Source organism: Homo sapiens, chromosome 19 (genome assembly GCF_000001405.40).
Source record: "Homo sapiens chromosome 19, GRCh38.p14 Primary Assembly".
NCBI classification, from domain to species: Eukaryota; Metazoa; Chordata; class Mammalia; order Primates; family Hominidae; genus Homo; species Homo sapiens.
The window spans coordinates 56,640,007-56,661,405 of NC_000019.10; the positions used below are offsets into that span (position 1 = coordinate 56,640,007).

General features: G+C 45.9%; 1 protein-coding gene and 1 long non-coding RNA gene across 3 annotated transcripts in view; both read left to right on the forward strand.

Moving 5' to 3' along the window:
- The window catches only part of ZNF71-SMIM17 (ZNF71-SMIM17 readthrough (NMD candidate)), a 61,946-nt gene extending 44,705 nt beyond the window's left edge, over positions 1 to 17,241 (forward strand). For both annotated transcript variants that reach the window (NR_163262.1, NR_163263.1), the window contains 3 exons: positions 5,562 to 5,830; positions 7,552 to 7,628; positions 15,097 to 17,241. This is a non-coding gene — a long non-coding RNA (ZNF71-SMIM17 readthrough (NMD candidate)). The remainder of the gene's footprint in view (positions 1 to 5,561; positions 5,831 to 7,551; positions 7,629 to 15,096) is intronic.
- SMIM17 (small integral membrane protein 17) lies at positions 3,153 to 17,241 on the forward strand. The gene is made up of 4 exons (NM_001193628.2): positions 3,153 to 3,204; positions 5,562 to 5,830; positions 7,552 to 7,628; positions 15,097 to 17,241. The coding sequence occupies exons 2-4, from the start codon at positions 5,662 to 5,664 to the stop codon at positions 15,205 to 15,207; spliced, it is 357 nt and encodes a 118-aa protein (NP_001180557.1). The 5' UTR covers positions 3,153 to 3,204; positions 5,562 to 5,661; the 3' UTR covers positions 15,208 to 17,241.
- Positions 17,242 to 21,399: the final 4,158 nt, after the last annotated feature.

Consider the following 21,399-nt stretch of genomic DNA (forward strand, 5'->3'; position numbering starts at 1 on the left):
AACAAAGGGAAAAGGCCCATGGGGATAACACATCTGTACTCCAGCCCTTGGCTTGCTATGAGGCTATGGCAAGACAGAGAATGTGTTATGTTACAGTAGGATAATGAAGAATTGGAACCAATAATTCAATCTACCACACGTAGTGGTGGCATATAGCTATAATTTTTTAATCGTGATTTTATTTCCCTTTTAGGTTATGGCACTTGAAACTGGCTTTCCACTTATAGGAGTGCTGTAAAGTTTCCATTTAAAGGTACTTCTTAAATGGTTTTAGAAAATGAATTCATTTTAAATAAAAATATTAAGTAAATAGGAATGCAGGGATGTTATGTGTAAATGAAAGCAATCATGAAGATGTTACTCATTGCTGCAGAAACAGGGCAAACATTGAAAAAGGGTGTTTGAGAGGTTGAAGTTTGAGAAACATTAAAGACATAAAACAGGATTCCAGACACTTTCCCTTCATTGTTTTCTTCTGTTTAGGGAAGAAATCACCTCTAAGGGGTCACTCAGTAACATTCCTTTCGGCCAGGCACTGTGGCTCACGCCTGTCATCCCAACACTTTGGGTGGCCGAGGCAGGTGGACGACCTGAGGTCAGGAGACCAGCCTGACCAACATGGAGAAACCCCATCTCTACTAAAAATGCAAAAATTAGCTGCGCATGGTGGTGCAAGCCTGTAATCCCAGCTACTCGGGAGGCTGAGGCAGGAGAATCGCTTCAACCCGAGAGACGGAGGTTGCGGTGAGCCGAGATTGTGCCACTGCACTCCAGTGTGGACAACAAGAACAAAATTCCGTCTCAAAGAAAAAAAAATTTGTTCCCTCAGAATTCTGGGGAAGCCCCTCAAACTTGAGTCCATTTTGAAACAACCATAATTCATCTGGACTATCAGGATCATAACTGGAGATTTTTACCCCATATTGAGGACCTGCTGTTCAATAATTATAATGATAATACCAGTGACATTTACTGAGCACTCAAAATTAGGAGGCATATGTATTAACCTATATGATGTTCACACTAACCCTATGAGGTAGAAAATATTATTGTCCCCATTTTGCAGGTAAGGAAACTGAGACCGAGTTAATTCACTTCCCAAAGTTATACAGCTAGTACATTGTTAGATCTGCATCTGGATGCCCAGTTCCTAACCCTCTCAAGACTCTGTGACCTGGGGCAGCTCACCTGGTCTCCTGCACTAAATGTCTTGTTATCAAAGGAGGTGATGAGGATTGGATGAAATGTCTAATTCTTGACACTTCATCTCTCTTCTCTGCACACTCTGAACTATCTTTGGAATGGCAGGAAACTCATCTTCTAAACATAGAAATGAAGAAAGTTTCCCATCCCAATTACATAACCTATCTGAAAACTCGTAGGCAAACCCAATCTCAGTCCTTCCATAATCTTACTGTGTGTCCTTTGTACAACTCATTTAACTCCTTTGTGCCTCAGTTCTCTTCTCTGTTAAATGGGGATAATAATACTACCACTTTGGGCTGTTGGAATTAAATGAGATAATATTAACGAGATGGCTTTCCTTGTAGTATTTTTTTGATAAATGACAGTTATTTTTGTTTTTCTGAATAACCAGGGTAATTCAATTTTCTATCCATTAGGGAAAGGAGGTTAAATCCTTACCTCATACCATTCAAAAAAATTCCAGAAGGTTCAAACAAAATAAATATATAAAATAAGACTGTAAAATATAAGATTATACAGGAAAATGTGTTTATGAGAGTAAGGGGAGGCCAGGAGAAGTGATTCATGCCTGTAATCCTAGCACTTTGGAAGGCTGAGCTGGGAAGATCAGTTGAGGCCAGGAGTTTGAGACCAGCCTGGGCAACATAGTGAGACCCTGTTTCTACAAAAAATTTAAAAATTAGCCAGGTGTGGTGGCACATGCCTGCAGTCCCAGCTACTCAAGAGGCTGAGGCAAGAGCATCACTTGAGGCCAGGAGTTCAAGGCTGCTGTGAGCTATGATCACACTACTGCACTCCAGCCTGGGTGACAGAGTAAGACCTTGTCTCAAAGAGACAAGGAGGGGGAGGAGGGGCGGGGAAGAGAGGGAGAGACAAGGCTGAGGAAGGGCATCTTAAGACCCTAAAAGCAAAAAATAAATAAATAAATAAAAAGGATATCTTGTATTTTTATTAAAATTCAAAACTTCAGGCACTGTGTAAACACAATAAAAACATAAGGGAGGAGCCAGGAGAAAATATTTGCCACAGATAGAGTAACAGGCAAAGGATTAATGTGCAGAATATAGAAAGAATGTCTATTAATCAGTAAGTAAAAGCTACATAAACAAATAGAACAATGCGGAGAGGAGGAGATAAACGGGTAATTCACAGAAGAGAGAATAAGCCTGTTCAAATACATGTGTTTAATTCTCCTCACTAGTAATCAGGGAAATGTAGCTAAGATGATGCAGGGACGCCGTTTTCCCCCTACCTATGGCTTTGCCGAAAATTTTAAAAATTTAATGTAGCCTCCATGAGAGCAACTTGGCTGTAGTCACTGCATTGTAAATTTGAACAACAATGGTCATTGATAATAATAGCAGCTATTAGGCACTGTTGTAAGAACTGTACGTGTATTACTTATTATTGTTATTATTGTTTTACTTTCACAGAAATCCTGGGACTTGGTAACCATAATTATTCCCACTTAACAGCATGGGCAACCGAGGCACGGAAATGTTAAGTAACACACCCGAGGACTCACTAGTAACAAATGGCAAAGCCAGCCGCTGCCCCAGGCGGTCGGGCCTCAGGGTCCCCGGGCTGCCACCCCCTGCCCCAGCTCCTTCTCCCTTCCGCCCACCCCGGACTCCCGGTTTGCAGACTGGAGAACCACGGGGGGCGTACGCAAAGCCGCTGGCCTTGGGGCGTCTGTCGCAGGGTACCTCGAACATAACCTACGTGCTCATCAGCTAGAGATGGACCAGCTCGGTACCACACCCCCCTGCAACCACGCCGCGGGTACCCCGCCTCTGCGGCTCATCCACTCCCTTCCCCACGCGCCTCCAGGTGCAGGCTTCCCGGGGGTGGAGGAGGGGAGGAGGACACCCACGCTCCCCAATTCCCCCACCTCCCATCTCCCACCTCCCCCCACCCCCCCGCAGCCTCCGCGTCTGCGCAGCCGCAGTCAGTGCGGCGCCAGCTCTGCAGAGCCCAGACAGGGTCCGGTTGGGGAGGGTGAGTCCTTCGAGGGACCCCCGCGGGCGGGAAGGAGGCGGAGAAAAGGGGCTGGGGGCGCGGGCGGCGATCCGGGGATGCGCGCGCGAGTATGGATGCGCAGAGGGTGTGTGTGCCTGGGCGAGGGTGAGGGGCAGAACCGCTCCAGGGATAGGGTCCGGGGAGAGGGCGTCTCCAAGCCCGTCCGGTGGGAGAGGACCGGGGTCTGTCGGGGTCGGGTCTGTTTCTCCGCAGCGGAGGTCTGTGTCCTGGCTTGGGGGTTGCAGGTGAATTCCAGCCTCCTCGTGAGGAGGGGAGCACAGACCTGTGTACCCTCGTGGGGCGGCACGGGCACGTGCGCTCGTCTCGCTGGGGCTTGGTGTCGATGTTCGCTCCCCCTGGGGTGTTCAGCGCACCTGCCCGAGTGTGCACCTGTGCGTGTTCGCGTTGTGTGTCCGCCTGGGCCCCTGTGGACCACCCTGCAACGGTGGGAGCGCAGGCTCTCAGCAAACAGGTGCAGCAGCCCCGCCCCCACTCTTCTGAGCTGTGTGGCTTTGATCAGGGGACTTCCCTGTCTGTTAAATGGAAACCTAATAGTATCTGTAGCGAGAAGTATGGCCACCTTTATGTGAGAAAAGGGATTCGCAGGGCTCAGCAGGGCTGGGCACAAGGAGAGTTCTGGGCTCCGGGAAACACTGCCGGTATTTTTATTGCTTTTACTGTGGTTGCTGGTTGTCGTTGTTGTGACTGCGTCTCCATTCTCTCAGGGGATGACTTGTTTGCTATTTCACCATGAACACTGAGGCTGTGGGGTGTGAATCTCCTCCCCCCACCATACCTCTGTCTCATCCCCTTTCCTTCTTCCTCCTCCATTCACTGCGGATCCAGCTTCTCCTGACCTTGACCTGATGGCTGTCGTCTTTCCCATCTGTCACCCCGCTTGCCTGCATTTTCTCCTTTCTCATGCCTTCCCCTCCCCTCAACCTAGATCCATGATTAATTATGTCTCATATTAAAAACAAAGCCAAGCAAAACCCCAAAGCAATAAACAAATCAGAACTCCCTAATGGTACTCTCTAACACTCTTTCCCACGAAGGTCCCATAGGAATTTTCTTGCCCTGAAAAATGTCTAGGCAGCCTCCTCTCCTCACTCCCAACAGACTCCCCGGCCCACACTGAGGTTGCAAATGGGCAACCCCAGGGTCTAATTCAGCCCCACAACTTGTGCTATTTGACTAAAGGTGTCTTCCTGTTAAACACTGGAAATAATTATTGACATCATGAAATGTAGAAAATGCCATCTGAAAATATAGATTTCCAGTCTTCTTTTGAGAAATCACAGGATGGGCGACACCAGTCCCATGCGTTTGCTCTGCAGACATTAGCTGAGTTGCATGGTGCAGCTTCTTCAGACAGGAGACCTGATCTCTCTTGCCCCACTCCCCACTGCCTCCGTCGTCTCTCCCCATGCCATATATCCACTGCCATTTGTTCATGTGCTCCTTACAATAGAGAAGTATTTCTCTGGACCTATATTTAATTTTCATTTGTAGAAAAGTGACAGTAAAAGAGTCCTCTTGATTGACTCATTGATTGATTTTTGAGAGAGTCTTTCTCTCTTACCCAGGCTGGAGTGCAGTGGCACGATCCTAGCTCACTGAAGCCTTGAACTCCCAGGTTCAAAGGATCCTTCCAATATCTGAGACTACAGGCTCGTGACACCACACCTGGCTAATTTTTAAACTCCTGGGCTCAAGCAACCCTCCCACCTTGGTCTCCCAAAGTGCTAGGATTACAGGTGTGAGCCACCTCGCCTGGCTGATTTATTTATTAATTCATGTCGTTTCCTATCCCATTTGTTATATACAAATGTGCAGACTGGAGAATCATGTGTGGCTGTAGGTGTGTATATGAGTATGTGAGTGTGTATGTGTGTGAGTATGAATGTGAGTGTGTGTGACTGTGAGTGTGTATGAGTGTGTGTGTTAGTCTATGTGAGTGTGTGTGAATGTGGATGTGTGTGTGTTTGTGTTTGTGTTAGTGTGTGTGTATGTGACTGTGTGTCTGTGTGTGTGTATGTGTGGATGTGTTTATGTTTGTATGTGTGTATATGGGAGTATGTGAGTGTGTGTGTCTGCATGTGCCTGCCCATGACAATCACTCCCTTTCCAGCTTTGTCTCCAGAGCACCCTCTAGCGTTTGACCTGCTGTGTGCTTTATTTGTTCCCTGCCTGTCTCTTTGTCTCCCTACTAGAATGTAAGCCCCAGGAGGGCAGGAATCTCCACTTGATTACTGCTGTATTTCTAATGCTTACAGTCGTGCCTAGCCCCTGCTGGCCCTCTGTAATGATTCACTGAATGATGAAATGTCCATCAGTCCTCAGGTTCTGAATCTTGTGCCTGGAGAACCAGAGAGGACCCTGGAGCAGGAGGAGAAAGAGAAGCTTGTCTCAGAAGCTCCACCTCCTCCTGGGGCAATGCAGAGTCTCAGGCCTGAGCAGACACGGGGGCTGCTGGAGCCTGAGAGGACCAAGACTCTGCTGCCTCGGGAGAGCCGGGCCTGGGAGAAGCCTCCTCATCCCGCCTGCACCAAAGACTGGGAGGCTGTGGAGGTTGGGGCCTCCAGCCATGACAGTGATGAGAAAGGTGAGAGGCAGGGGTCCTTTGGGAGGTGAGTGGGTGGAGAGGAAGGAATTGGCAGAGCCTAGGGAAAGACTAAACATTCACTCCTTCACTCATCCATTCAACAGCTATTCATGGAGCACTGTGTCAGTCAGCTTTTGCTGTGTAACAAGTCATCCCCAAACTTAGGGGCTTAAAGCAACAATCACTTATCAGCTCATGATTCTGTGGGTCAGAAGTTTGACCTGGCTTCAGGGGACACTTTTCCTGCCTGTGCTTGTCTGTGCAGCCTCAGAGAGCTGGTGAGGCCACTGGTCGATCTCAGATGGCTTTACCCCCATGTCTGCTGGTGCTGGCTGTTGGCTGGCTTGGTGGTGCTGAGGACAGGCCATGTGTCTCCAGCAGGATTTTTCAGGGTTATCCTCATGGGGGTGCTTGCAGGGTTCTCAGGGATGGCAAGAGAGGGAATTCCCCAATTTTCAAGCACTGGAAGATTTGAAGAGGAAAAACACATGATCTCATTTGCATTTCAAAAATATTCCTCTAACTCAGTGGATTTCAACTGGGCGTGGTCTTATACCCCACTTCTCCTCCCCGGACGATTTTTGGCAGTGTCTGGAAACATTTAGGATTATCCTAACTGTGGAGATGCTGCTGTTATCTTGTGGGGAGAAGCCAGTAGTGATGCTGATAAACGTCCTACCATGCACAGGACGGACCCTCCCCCCACAGAAAGAATGGTGCAGCTCCAAATGCCGATAGTGCCAAGTTTGAGAAACCCTGAGTCTCACTGCATGTGAGAATGGATTGTAGGGCTAGGAAGTCAAGAATGGAAGGTGGGAGGCCAGTTAGGAGATTCCTGCAACTGTCCAAGACAGAGGTGAGGTAAGTGGAGAGATTTGGGACATCTTTGGGAGAAGGAATCAGTTCTTGCTGATGGATGTGGAGAAGGGGAGGAAACGAGAGGTATCATGATGACTTTTAGGGTTTTGGCCCAAACAGATGGATAAAGGATGGTGCCATTTGCCGACATCTCAATGACACCCCATAGCAGAAAGGGGCTGAACCTTATACCAACTACTAGGCACTGTCTTTTTCCTCAGGGGATGAGCAGGGCTGGGACAGAAGGAGTGGATAACAGAGGCCAGCTCTGCTAGTGAGGCTTGGAGCTCCTGGCTGGGGCTAAGGTGCAGAAAGAGTGGAAAATGCCAGGATTTGCCCAGTCTATTCAGCTTAGGGATGAGAAGGACACTAAGGTTCTGACTATGGGGACATGTCCCCACTAGTGTCTGTTCTTTGGAAGCTGGGGAAGCCTCCATCATCCTGGTTTACTTCTGTGGCTTTTTCTTCTGCTCCTTCACTCAGTTTCTGCTGGGGGCCTGTAGAGAAGGAACTCTTTTATCTACTGGACAGGTAAGGGACTGAAGACTCAAGTGGCAGGGCACATCAGGTGACCCAGTTGAAGTTTTCTAGGTAGTTATAGAACAGAATTCAGGTCTTTCATTCTCTCAGCCCCATCTGAATCATCACATAGGCATATGTGTGTTTGTGTGTGTGTGGGGTTGTGTGTTTGTGTGTGTGTGAGAGAGAGAGAGAGAGAAGGAGGGTGAGAGAGAGAGAGAGAGAGAGAGAGAGAGAGGAGGCTATTACTAGAAAAGGGACAAGATGCCAGTGGGAAGAGCCCACTCCTGCCATCTGGCCACTCACTCATGGCTCCTTTTTCCTCCACTCCCACCCTCACCCAGACCTGTCTTCTCAAGAGACTGGGCTTTCCCAGGAGTGGAGCTCGGTGGAGGAAGATGACGAATCAGAGGGCTCCCAGGTACACTGGGGGGTTTGTTCTTTTTCCACAAATGTCCCACTCTGTAGATCTCAGCACTTTGTCACATTTGCATTCTCAGCTTGGAATTTACCTGCCCCATAAAAATCTCAAGAGATCTCTTGTGTCTGATCTCTATGGTGATCAGACACAGACTGGAGGGTCTCCATGTGGTGTGTGTAACTCAGTTCACATGTACCCTCCAACACTTCCTTCATAAATCCATCTACCCATGCATCCACCTCTGTACTTCATCTTCTGTCCACTTATTCATCAACCCTCCCTTCCATCCACCCTCTTACCTTTCCAATCACTCATCCATTCATTCATCCACCTCTCAAACATCTACTAGCCATTCACTCATCTGTCCACTCTTTCATCCACCTAAACTTTTATTCACCTACTTGCTTGTATACCCATTCCATCCATCCATCCATCCATCCATCCATCCATCCATCCATCCATCCATCCATCCCTATACTTCATCTGTTTATCCACTTATCCATCCATCCATCCATCCATCCATCCATCCATCCATCCATCCATCCATGCATCAACCCATCCCTATACCTCAGCTGTCTATCCACTTTTCCATCCACCCATAAACCCTCCCTTCCACCCACCCTCTCACCTTTCCATTCACCTGTCCATTCATTCATCTACCCATTGAACATCCACCAACTATTCATCTGTCCACTCATTCATTTACCCAACCTTTCATCCCTTATGCATCCATATACCCATTCCATCCATCCATCCATCCATCCATCCATCCATCCACCCATTCATCCATCCATATATCCAGTTATCCATATACATACTCATTCACCCTTTTATTCAGATGCCATCAATCCATCTGTTCAATCCACCCACCTACATATCCATCCCCTATCCACTCAACTGTCCACCCACCTATTCATCCCTCTACTACCTGTTGGCTGTGGTGAGGATATGGCTAGTATGCATCCACCCATATGCCCACACATTCATTCATCCATCTGTATCTATTCACACACCCAGTCATAAGACCACCTACCAATCCATTCACCCATCCACCCACTATTCCATTTATCCATCCACTAATCATCTACTGAGTTTTAATCCAGATACTACAAGTAAAACCAAAGACAATTATCAAACACATTTCTTTCACTCAAAAACCTAATGTTTTCTTTTTTGAGGAATAAGATATCAATATAAGAAAACCAGTGGTTCTTTCATTTATACATTCATCTCATACATGAGAAAAATCACATAATCACTCTCAGTGAGCACATGAGAGTCCCATCCATCTCCCAATCATGTCAGGAATGTAACTCTGGCTGCCTCAAGCCAGAAAATGGATTTATTGGCTCGTGGTGCAGGGATGAGGGCGAGGGAAACAAACTGGCCAACAAACCATGATAGTGCAGAAATAAGTGCTGGGCACAGTGGAGTGGCCCAAAGGAAGAAGTTAACTGCATGCCAGGAGGTTTATTCTTGGATATCCCAGAGAGGAGGACACACCACACCTGGAGTTTTCGGGATAGTAAGAATTCCACAGGCATAGCAGGGAAGGGAACAACATGTGCACAGGCAAGTTGGTATAACAAGGTACGTTTCAGGGACACTGAAGTTAAGGGCAGAGCAGTGGGAGGTTTGGGTGAAAATATGGCTGGGATGACATCATTCACTCATTGCACGTCTATTTCTTGAGCACCTGCTCAGTGCCAAGCAGTGTTCAATGCACAGAGTGTACAATAGTGAGACAGAAGTGGTCCCTGCCTTCATGGAGCTCACAGTCACCGAGGTAGACAGACGACAATTGAAATAAGCAGCTAAAATATGAATTGGGTTGAGTGGTGATAACTGCTATGGAGAAAAATGAAGCAGGAAGGGGGTTTGGGAGTAGGAGCTGGGGCTGGGGGTTGCTATTTTAAGAAGCTTGTCTAGGAAAGTCCCCACTGAGAGGGAGCTATTGAGTGAGGACCTGAAGGAGGTGGGGAGTGAGACTGGCAGATGTCTAGGGAGAGCGGGCTCTATGCAGAGGACACAGCAAGTGCAAAGGCCCTGAGGTACAGATGTGCCTGGTACATTTGGGGAACACCAAGGGGCATGGTGGTCAGTGTGGCTGGAGGGTGGGAGGGAGGACTAGGAGGTGAGGTCATGGGGGCGATGGGGTGGATGATGTAGTGTCTCATGGGCCATGGTGAAATGTGAGTTTTACTCTGAGTGGGTGGGAGCCATAGGCGAGTTCTGGACAGAGGAGGGACATGTTCTGATTTGGCCTTTAGCAGGACTCCTCTCACTGCTAAGTCCCACACCGAGGAGGTTGGATGTGTTTTGCAGGCAGTGGGAGCCATCGAAGGTGTTCGGGGACTTACAGAATCACTCTGGGAGCCCATGTGGAAGGAAGGTGGGTTGGATGTGGCTGGGGTTAGAGTTTAGAGGGGCAAAGGAGCAAGTCAGAAATGTATAGTTAGGGAAAAAAGGTAGAAATGAAACAGAGAAGAGTTGCCACTTTCCTTGTGCATGTTACAAGCTTCATGCTATTCTTTTTATTTTTTATTTTTTTGAGACGGAATCTCGCTCTGTCACCAGGCTGGAGTGCAGTGGCACTATCTTGGCTTACTGCTCACTGCAACCTCCGCCTCCTCTGTTCAAGTGATTCTCCTGCCTCAGCCTCCTGAGTAGCTAGGACTACAGGCGCACACCACCATGCCCAGCTAATTCTTGTATTTTTAGTAGAAATGGGGTTTCACCATGTTGGCCAAGATGGTCTTGATCTCTTGACCTCGTAATCCGCCCACCTCGGCCTCCGAAAGTGCTGGGATTACAGGCATGAGCCACGACGCCCAGCCAGCTTGATGCTATTCTAAGCTCATCTTATTATAACACATCTAGTAACTGAACACTCATTAACTCTCATAACTCATGAGCCTTGTGAGATTGTTAGCATGGTTTCCTCCTCTACAGATGAGGAAACTGAGGCAGAGAGGAACCAAATGGCTTGCTTCAGGTCCCACAATGAGTGGGTAGCAGAGCTAGCATAGAGTTTGGGCTTGGAGGGGAGGATAGGAGCGAATGGGACCCAGGACCTGATGACATTTCCAGACCTGTGGAACGTAAAAGGTGAAGGAACAGGGACAAGCCCAGGGGCAACACGTGAATTCTGATGTGGGGACAGGGTAGAGGGAGGTTCTAGCCTCCAGCATAGGGATCAAGGAGGCAGTTTGGAAGAAATGACAAGGTCGATTTTAGACATGCTGCTTGGGAGAGGCCTCTGTGACATCATTCATTCACTCACTCGTTTGCCCAGTTGTAATTCCTTGAGCCAGCATTGATGGAGCACACACCAGGGGGCTGATAGGGGAGGGCCTCTCATTGGCAGGCCCTGGGTCAGTTTTCTGCATGGACAGACCCTCCTTCCTGCAGACAACCACCCTCTTTCAAAAAAGAAAGAGGAGCGGGCTGTCTGGAACCAGAGACCTTTGATGACAGTTACAGCCTCATTATGGGCCAGGAGCTGGACTTTGTGCTCTACTTACCTTAATTTACTTGGTACTCTTATCAGTCCTTGATGTAGGACCTGTTATCCCATTTTACAGATGGGAAAACTAAGGCACAGAGAGGTTATGTGACTTTCCCTTGTCATGCAACGTGTAAATGGCAGAGCTAGGATTTGTACCCAGCATGTCTCTTAACCACTAGGTGTCCTGCCTGTGCTTGGGGCAGAGATGAAGGCCTCTCTCTCCCTGTTCTCCTAGTCACTATACCTCCTGTGGAGAGGAGTGAGTGAAGAAGTGGAAGAAAGAAAAAGAGTTACTTTCCGGGAGGGCAGAAGTTCCCAGTCTGTGGGCACAGAAGAAAGCAAGCAGGGGAAAATGGTCCCATCATTACCGTTCCATAAAATGCAAGCATATGTAACACCTGCAAATCTTATCTAAGTGCATGAGATTTTAAAAAGATCAATGCCCAGAAATAACCCCTGGTAAAAGTTGCTGTAACAGGCCAAATTCATCCATAGTGTGAGAAGTTGGGGTAGTGGTTACCTTTGAGGTGGGGGGATTTCGGGGTTGATAATGATCTGCTTCCTGTTTGGGGTGCTAGTTACATGGTGTGTTCACCTTCTGAAGGTGCCTCAGGCTGTACACCTAGGATGTGTGCAACCTCCCCTTTCTACATTCCACTTCAACAGAATGTTTTAAGCTGGCTGGGCACAGTGGCTCACGTCTATAATCGCAGCACTTTGGGAGGCAGAGTCAGGCGGATCGCTTAAGGTCATGAGTTCGAGATCAGTCTGCATAACATGGCAAAACCCCATTTCTACTAAAAATACAAAAATTAGCTGGGCATGGTGGCACATGCCTGTAATCCCAGCTACTCAGGAGACTGAGGCAGGAGAATCGCTTGAACCTGGGAGGCAGAGGTTACAATGAGCTGAGATTGTGCCACTGCACTCCAGCCTGGGAGACAGAGTGAGACTCTGCCAAAAAAAAAAAAAAAAAAAAAAAAAAAGTTGCTGTATATATCCTTGTATATATCCTGCCAAACATGTTTCCCTATATACTGAGACTGAATTGAGATTTGTGTGCCAGTGCTTGATTGAGGGTTGTGCTCTCAGGTGAAGCCCAGCGGGGAGTGAGGGAAGCTGGAGAGGGGAGGAGAGGGAGCCAGGCAAATATACTGGTAGAACTGAAATCCAGTCTCCGTCTTATCGCAAGGGAACCCTGGAATGTGAATAGAGAGTTGTCCTCCTCTGGGCTGGGCGCAGTGGCTCACGCCCGTAATCCTAGCACTTTGGGAGGCCGAGGTGGGTGGATTACGGGGTCAGGAGTTCAAGACCAGCCTGGCCAAGACGGTGAAACCCCGTCTGTACTAAAAATACGAAAATTAGCTGGGCATGGGGGCGGATGCCTGTAATCCCAGCTACTCGGGAGGCTGAGGCAGAGAATTGCTTGAACCCAGGAGGCACAGGTTGCAGTGAGCTGAGATTGCACCACTGCCCTCCAGCCTGGGCGATACAGCGAGACTCTCCTTCTCAAAAAAAAGAAAAAAAAAAGAGAGAGAGAGAGAGAGTTATCCTCCTCTGAGTCAGTGGAGTGGCCTTTTGTATCCCATATGAGTTATTGTTGGCTGTGGACTGCCCTGGAGGGCGAATTAACCTCCTGGGTAATCCTCTAGGAAGGAGGATCTCATTAGCAAAGGGCATTTGTCAGAAGAGAAGGAGCAACTACAAACTGTAAACCATACAAGTAGCGGCCAATACCCCTAGCCTCCAGGGGAGAGCTGCACCAGCCTGAAAAACAGAAATAAAGAGAAATTAGGTGAGGCATCCATGGGTCTATTATGTGTGATGTGTGTAAAACTATTGGATTTCAGATTACCTGTATTTATTACATTTTCTTAACTTTATATTCTGCTTTTCAAAATTGAAGTATAATTATTTCCAATAAAATGCACTAACCAGAGAGTGTTTACACATGTACATCCGTGTAACCAACACCCCAATCAAGATATTGAGTGCTGTCATAATTCTAGAACATTCTCTTATTTTCCCTTCTGGTCCATCTCACTCCCCAGCCCTGGAAGCAACTACAGTTCTTGATTTCCACTTGCATGGATTAGTTTTGCTTGTTGTTGAATTTTATCTAAATACTGTCATGTAGTAAACTACATATATATTTTTTAATTCCAAAAAAGGAAATTATGGCAAAATTGTTATTCCTCCAGTTGGCATTTTCACTTAATACGTGCTGGACAGTTTTCCATTTAATATATATTGATTATCTTCATTGTATTTCAAAGTTACTTTTTCCTGCTGCCAAATATTCTCTAGCTCAGTTGTGTCAGACCCATTTCCTTGGGTGATGAATTGCTAGGCTCCCATTGCTGTCACTGTTACAGAAGACAATGCTACAATGAGCGTTTGTTCAGTTGGCCCAATTTTACGCATGGATTATGAGGAACTTTATAAAAATTCACATTCTCTGGTTCTCCTCAGATACACTGAACCAGAAAATCCAAAGGGGATCCCAAGATATTCAAAAACCTCTCCCAACAACTTTTGGTGCTCTACCAGGTTTGGGAACTGCTTAAGTGGGTCATTGTCCCTAGGTATCTGGTTGTAAAGGAAGATTTGAAATAAGGTGTCATCCAGAGGGAATCAGCAGGCTAAAGGGAGGAATTTGTTTCAAAGATTATAAATGTGAATTCCATCAATGATTTATAATATACTTTAATAATTCGTAGTCTGTGTCCTTCCATTTTTCTTTTTTCACAGGATTTTTTTCAGTGTTCACCATTGCCTAACTTTCCAGATAATCCATTATGTCTTGTACATTCACCAAACTTCCTTGATATTTTAATAGCAATTGCACTAAATTCATCATTAATTTGGAAAATTGTCATCGTTAAACATTTTGTCTTCTCATCTCTTATCATGGTATGTTTTTTCATTTATGAACTCATTCAACAAATATTTACAGAGTTCATACCCTGTTCCAGGCACTGGGAATACAGTAGCAAACAAAGCAAAGGTTTGCCCTCTTGGTGCTTACAGTGTCATTGGAGGAAGAGACAATAAACATACATAGCATGTCAGGTGGTGATAGGAGCATGGAGAAAAAGACAAGGGGCATGCATAGTGCAGGGTTAAGGGTATCTGGAGGAAGGGCATTCCAGGAAGAAGAACTCGTAACTACAAAGGCTTGGAAGTGACTGTGGCTGGAACAGAGTGAGAAAGGCAAGGAATGACGTCAGCGTTAGAAGGAGCACTCTGACTGGCCCATGGGCAAGAAATTGGGTGGGATTATCAAGACAAGAAACAAAATTCTGTATCAAGAGTACAAGATAGATGACAGTGGCTTTGGCCAGGGTGGTGGTAGTGAAGGGAAGGGAAATGGTCAGATTCTGAATGTTTTGAAGATAAAGCCAACAGTACTTGCTGATGTCTTGAATGTGGGTGGTGTCAGAAAGAGAGTCAAGGATACAACAATTGGAGGTCTGGAGGGGCCTGAAGGGGTAATGGGAGGAAAACTGCATGAGGAGCTTTTTTTTGTGGGGGACATTACAATATTTGTTTGGGGACATGTGAAGTTTAAGATGTCCATCAGATATCCAACTGGAGATGGCAAATAGGCAGTGAGATATATAGTTGGGTCAACAAATACACATACATATGCAAGCACACACATATCTCTTGAGGGGGTGGGGTCATTAGAGCATAGATGGTATGTTAAAACTGAGATTTAATATACCAGTGAGATTTTGAAATTGTCATCCCATTATTCGAACATTTCCTCTGAGAGAGCATAGTTATGTTACATTCTTTTGTTTATCTTATATCTACTCAGTTGTACCGTTTTAAATTCAAACAGCTTTTCTCTTGATATGACATTTCATTTCTGATCATATAAGTCTATTTTCCTGCAAGTAACAATGGTGGCCCCTTCCTTTCCAATATTTATCCTTTTCCTTTTTTCTGTTTCAGGGCTTTGTGGAGTGGTCAAAAGCTCCACAACAAACAACCATAGTCTTGGTAGTGTGCGTGCTTTTTTTGTTCCTGGTTTTAACGGGGATGCCTATGATGTTTCACATTTAACTATAATGGTGGCTGTTGTTTTAAAAGTTTAATTTAATGAAATAGATGCCCTATGTCATGTTAAGGAATTGTGCTAGTTAAAAATCAGGAATAGGTGTTGAATATTTTCAAATGCCTTTCAAACATCCTTTGAGATGATTTTTAAAAAATTTTTGGTGTGAGTTTTCACATACTTTATTTCCATGAAATGAAGACATCATTGATTGTAAAACATTATTTTGTATACCACGGAGAAAGAAAAGTGCTAATTAATCATTAAGATGCCACCAACTGGAAGATATCTCCTGACTTTGAGAAGATGAAAAAATGTGCAACTGAAGATCAATGAAATCTGGTACATTTCCTAACATCAAACCAACTTTGCATTCTTAAGGTTTTGGTGCACCAGTCTTTTCATACACTAGATTATATTTATTGATATTTTATGTAGGATTCTTGCCTCTATCTTCACATGTGAGATTGGTGCTATCTTTGTGAAGTTTTGGTATCATGGTTAAGCTTGCATCATAGAAAGACTTGGGTAACTTTTACCTTTTCTATGCTTTTCAATAGTTTCTGTAGCTTAGGAAGTATCAGTCCCTTGACACCTTACATGAATTCATTGTTATAACCAGGTCATAGAGTCATGGAGAGAACGTTTCAGCTAATTCTTGGGCAGCTTTCTTAGTTCTTTACAATGTTATCAGTTTATTAATACTTTTTACCTCTTGCATTTATTTTGGCGAATTACAGAGGTTTTTGTTTTTTTTTTTTTTTGAGACCGAGTCTCACTCTGTCACCCAGTCTGGAGTGCAGTGGCGCCATCTCGGCTCACTGTAAGCAGAGGGTTCATGCCATTCTCCTGCCTCAGCCTCCCAAGTAGCTGGGACTACAGGCGCCCACCACCATGCCCAGCTAATTTTTTGTATTTTTAGTAGAGACGGGGTTTCACCGTGTTAGCCAGGATGGTCTCGATCTCCTGACCTCGTGATCCGCCCGCCTTGGCCTCCCAAAGTGCTGGGATTACAGATGTGAGCCACCGTGCCCAGCCCAGAGTTCTTTTATCCTCTAGAAAATTCTTCATTCCATAGAGCTTTTTCATATTATTAGCTTAATTATGCATAATGTTTTATAATTAAAAATTTCTCTTTATTTTGTTCTATCCCCTGTTTCCTGTAAACTGCTGTTTGTGGTTTACTCGTTATTAGATTTGTCAAAGGTTTATCTAGCTTACTATTGTTTTTCCAAAGAACCAACATTAGGATTCATTTATATCCATTATTTCTTTTATTTGTAATTTGTTTTTCTTTGATATGTATTGCATTTATTTTTTATTGTTTTTCTTCTTTGTCTCAGTTTTTATACTGAATACTTGATTTATATTCTCTTTATATTTTCTATAATAGCATACTTATTAACGCAAATGTACTTCTGGATATAGCGTTGGCCACATCTTAACATTTGATTATTCATTTTTGTTTATGTTGTCTAAAAATTACATTGTAGTGTGTCTAAATATTACATTGTAGTGTTTCTAAAGAGTGCTTTGAAACTCAGTGATTTGGTTTATTTTTTGTTTAAAAATAGTTTTGTTTTCTTGTTTTACTGCACTGTGAACACAGAATGTGGCCTATAACACATCTGCTTCCAAAACTTTTTAAAAAGCTTTTAGTGTGGCCTAGAACATGTCCATTTTTTGTAATTGTTTCACGAACATTTAAGATGAAGATATCTTCTCTGTCTGTAGAACTGAAAACTTTATGTGCCTGTTAGTTAACTCAGTATCGTCAATTATATTGTTCAGATTCATGTGTTATCTAATTTTGGCCTATTATATTCATTAAAAACCAATAAGGTTATGTGAAACTTTGTTAGTACAATTGTTTTTGCTAATAAATTTTTATAATCTTTGCTTTATGTACTCAACAGCTGTGTAATTCGAGGCATATAAGTGCAGCATTGTTATGTCCTTGTTAATTAAATAATATATGTAAAACACCATATGACAATGGCTGGCAGATAGTAGGCACTCAATAAATGTTAATTAAAACCTGATTCTGAATCCTTTGTTAAATATAAAATGATTGTTTTCAGTCAATTTAATCCTTTGCCTTAAATTTTACCTTGTCTAATACTGGTTGATATTATCATCCTGCGCTCTTCTGTCTATGTATATGAGGTTCTTTAGAGAAATTAACAGGGAAAAGTATGGATTATCTCTCCATTCCTCTCTCAGGCTGATTGCCTGCAACAAGCAACCAGCCCTTAAGAGAAAGGAAAACAGGCCTTAACTATTACATTTTTTGAGATTCTACTGGAAATAAGAGAAGCTCAATTCAAATGAGCTTAAGCAAAATAATAATAATAATTATTATTATTATTCGTTCATGTTACACCAAAGTTTAGGATAAAATTGGCTTTATTTACAGCTGGTTCTGGGGGACCTAAAAATATCACTGGGGCTTTTCCTCTCCTCACCTCCCTCTCTTCCTTCTACATGGCTGGAGACAGCTATCATGGACCCTGTGATCATCTCTTCCACACGGCAAGGTGGGAGACCTGGCAGATTCCCATCACGCACACCTGCAACTCGCATCCTTGTTCTGCCTTGGGGACAAGAGTCCTGAAATTAGGGGAGAGAGAGCAGCAACTGCAAAGGCCCTGAGACATAAACCGACTGCCCAAGTAAAGGATGGAGAATGGACTGCAGCAGGTCAAAGGCGGAAGCAGGGAGATAAGTGTGGAGACTGTCTTAGGTGTCCAGTCAACAGGGGATGGGCCGGGCATGGTAGCTCATGCCTGTAATCCCAGGAGGGAGGCCAAGGCAGGAAGATCACTTGAGGTTAGGAGTTTGAGACCAGCCTGGGCAACACAGTCAGACCCTGTCTCTACAAAAAATAATAGTAATAAAAATTGTCAGGCATGGTGGCATGCACCTGTAGTCCCAGCTACTCAGGGAAACTGAGGCAAGAGGACTGCTTGAGCCCAGGAGGCTGAGACTGCAGACAGCCATGATCAGGCCACTGCACTCCAGCCTGGGTGAAAGAGTGAGACCTTGTCTCAAAAAAAAAAAAAAGCACCCAAAAATGAAAAATAGGGGATGATGTTGGGGGGCTAACTGGGCTCTGATTAGCTCAGACAGTGCCACAGGTCTTGACTGATTTTGTGGAATATTGAAAATAATCATGGCCGGGCATGGTGGCTCACACCTATAATCCCAACACTTTGGGAAGCCAAGGTGGGCAGCTCACTTGAGGTCAGGAGTGCGAGACCAGCCTGGCCAGCATAGTGAAACCCTGTCTCTACTAAAATACAAAGAAATTAGCTAGGTGTGGTGGGCACCTGTAATCCCAGCTACTTAGGAGGCTGATGCAGAAGAATCACCTGAACCCGGGAGGTCGGGAGGTGGAGGTTGCAGTGAGCAGCAGAGATTGTGCCATACCACTGCACTCCAGCCTGGTCAACAGAGCAAGACTGTCTCAAAAAAAAAAAAAAAAAAAAAAAGAAGAAAGAAAGAAAGAAAGAAAAAAGAAAAAAGAAAAGAAAAGAAAAAAGAATCATGATACTATCAGTAATATAAATCACATTAGCAATGGTCTTCTAATTAGCTCTACAGTATGCCAGGGACCTAATTTCATTGACGACAGAAGTATCCACTCAAGCCACTGACGTTCCATTCTCTACCCGACAGCTGGATAGATCCCATTAAAACATAATCAACCAGATTGGGCAACATAGTGAGACCCTGTCTCTACAAAAATAAAAATAAAAATATTAGCCAGGCATGGTTGTGTGCCCCTGTAGTCCCAGCTACTGTGGAGGCTGAGGCAAAAGGGTCGCTTGGGCCCAGAAGTTCGAGGTTACTGTGAGCTACAACTGTGTCACTGCACTCCAGTCTGCACAACAGAGAGAGACCTTGTTTCTAAAACAACAACAACAATAATAATAATAATAATAATAACAATAACACAATTAGGACCATTCATAATCCTCCCATTTCAGGTAAAGCCAAAGTCTTCACAATGCCATCCAGCCCTATTCCAAGTGGCTTCTCTTCCCTCCTCCTTATCTTGCTCCCTCCCACGCAGCCACACTGGCCTCCTTGCTGTTTCTCAAACTCGCCTATCATGCTTACTTCAGGACTTTTGCACTGTTCCTGCTCCGCGGAATGCTCTTTCCCCAGAAGCTCCCATGGCTCCCTCATCTCCTTCAGGTCTCAAATGTCACTTCCTCACAGAAGCCTTCCCCGACCACCCTCAAGTAGCACCTCTCTCCGCAGGTCCCGCTCTACTCGTCTTCACAGATTGTATCATGACCTGACAAGTAATGGGTCAATGCAGTTCCAGTCTAGCGTCCTCAATGGCCATTCCTGCCCCTTGGGTGGTTCTCCCTGGAGGAACTGTGAAGATGGAATGGGGGGAGGAGAGGGCTGTGGAGTTCAGGTTGTGCCTCCCCGGAACTCCTCACACATCCATACCAGCTTGTGGCACCTCCACACGACCCCACCCCCATGCTCTTGAAGCTGCTCCGTCTCTTCCTGGCTTTTTTTTTTTTTTTTTTTTTTTGAGACAGCATCTCGCTCTGTCGCCCAGGCTGGAGTACAGTGGCGCGATCTCGGCTCACTGCAAGCTCCGCCTCCTGGGTTCTCGCCATTCTCCTGCCTCAGCCTCCTGAGTAGCTGGGACTATAGGCACCCGCCACCACGCCCGGCTAATTTTTTGTATTTTTAGTAGACACGGGGTTTCACCGTGTTAGCCAGGATGATCTCGATCTCCTGACCTTGTGATCTGCCCACCTCGGCCTCCCAAAGTGCTGGGATTATAGGCGTGAGCCACCGCGCCTGGCCACTCTGTCTCTTCCTTTAACAGGGCAGGTTGGACCAGGGTGGTATTTGAATATAGTATCTAGGGAACACTGTGTAGGGGGAAATAAGTACTAGAAGTTGGTAAATACGGCAAATCTAAAATCACAGGGATTAGGCCGGGCGCAGTGGCTCACGTCTGTAATCCCAGAACTTTGGGAGGCCGAGACAGGTGGATCACCTGAGGTCAGGTGTTCGAGACCAGCCTGGCCAACATGGGGAAACCCCGTCTCTACTAAAAATACAAAATTAGCCGGGCGTGGTGGCGTGTGCCTGTAATGCCAGCTACTCGGGAGGCTGAGGCAGGAGAATCACTTGAATCCGGGAGGCAGTGAGCTGAGATCAAGCCAGTGCACTCCAGCCTGGGCAAAAAGAGTGAAACTTCATCTCAAATAAATAAATAAAATGAAGTAAAATCACAGGGATTAAGTGGACCACCCCTTGGGCCAGTCATGTGGCCTGTGGTTAGTAATTCTCATAGTGAAATAGCCCGATTACCCGCGAGATGGTTTGGGAGGGATTAATGAGAAGGCTGCACGCTGCCACCAGAGGGCAGCTTCGGCATCCAGTGCTGTGAGGGTTCACAGAATCCTAGGTCCATTTCCTCTTTACCTTATCTGTCAATCCTTACATTTCAGAAGCTCAGAAATATTTTGGATAATTTTTCCTCCACGGACTCAGAGGACTCTAACCTCCCGGGTGCTTTTCTCTTTCTACAGCAGGAGGGGTTCATGGCAAATTCTCATCACCCCTCCCTATTGCTGCTCTGCCACTGAACAGGCGCTCACGGCAGACCAATCTGCCCACACCCAAGACACTTTCCAGCGGCGCCGCCCATGGGCGTCCCTGCTCCGCGGGAAGCTCTCACCGGCGGATGCAGCCCGACGCCTGCGCACTGGAGAGGCGCCAAGCCCCCTGCACCTGCGCACTCCGACTGGGCGGGGTCTCCTCGACGTCCTGGTGGAAGGGTTCGGAGGACGGACGCCGATCATGCCCACTACCACGCCCCCAGCCCTGCCAGTTCCCCACAGAGCGGGTTTGACCCAGCTCTTTCTGCTGCTCTCTTGGGTGATAAACTGTGCCCCATGTCTGTAAACTAGGGTAGCATTTCACGCATTCATCCTTTCACCCGGCACTGTCTGAGCCCGTACTGTGTGTCGAGGCCTGGACTGGGCGAAGTTCGGCTCTCTGTGGTCCCTGATTCTGAATGGCTCTAGGGCTGGTGTGGGATGTTCAACTTACTCATTCGGTCACTCAGCTTTTCTTGAGGACCTACTGTGTGCTGAGACCAGGGCTGAGCAAAGTTTGGGTCACAGGAAGAAACCAGAATGATTGGTCCCTGAACCTGTGGG

Excerpts from the sequence above, each read along its gene's own strand:
- SMIM17 (NM_001193628.2), top strand. The coding sequence starts at position 5,662 with ATGCAGAGTCTCAGGCCTGAGCAGACACGGGGGCTGCTGGAGCCTGAG. Across the intron at positions 5,831-7,551 it reads CCATGACAGTGATGAGAAAG|ACCTGTCTTCTCAAGAGACT; the intron begins GTGAGAGGCAGG and ends ACCCTCACCCAG. Across the intron at positions 7,629-15,096 it reads ACGAATCAGAGGGCTCCCAG|GGCTTTGTGGAGTGGTCAAA; the intron begins GTACACTGGGGG and ends TTTCTGTTTCAG.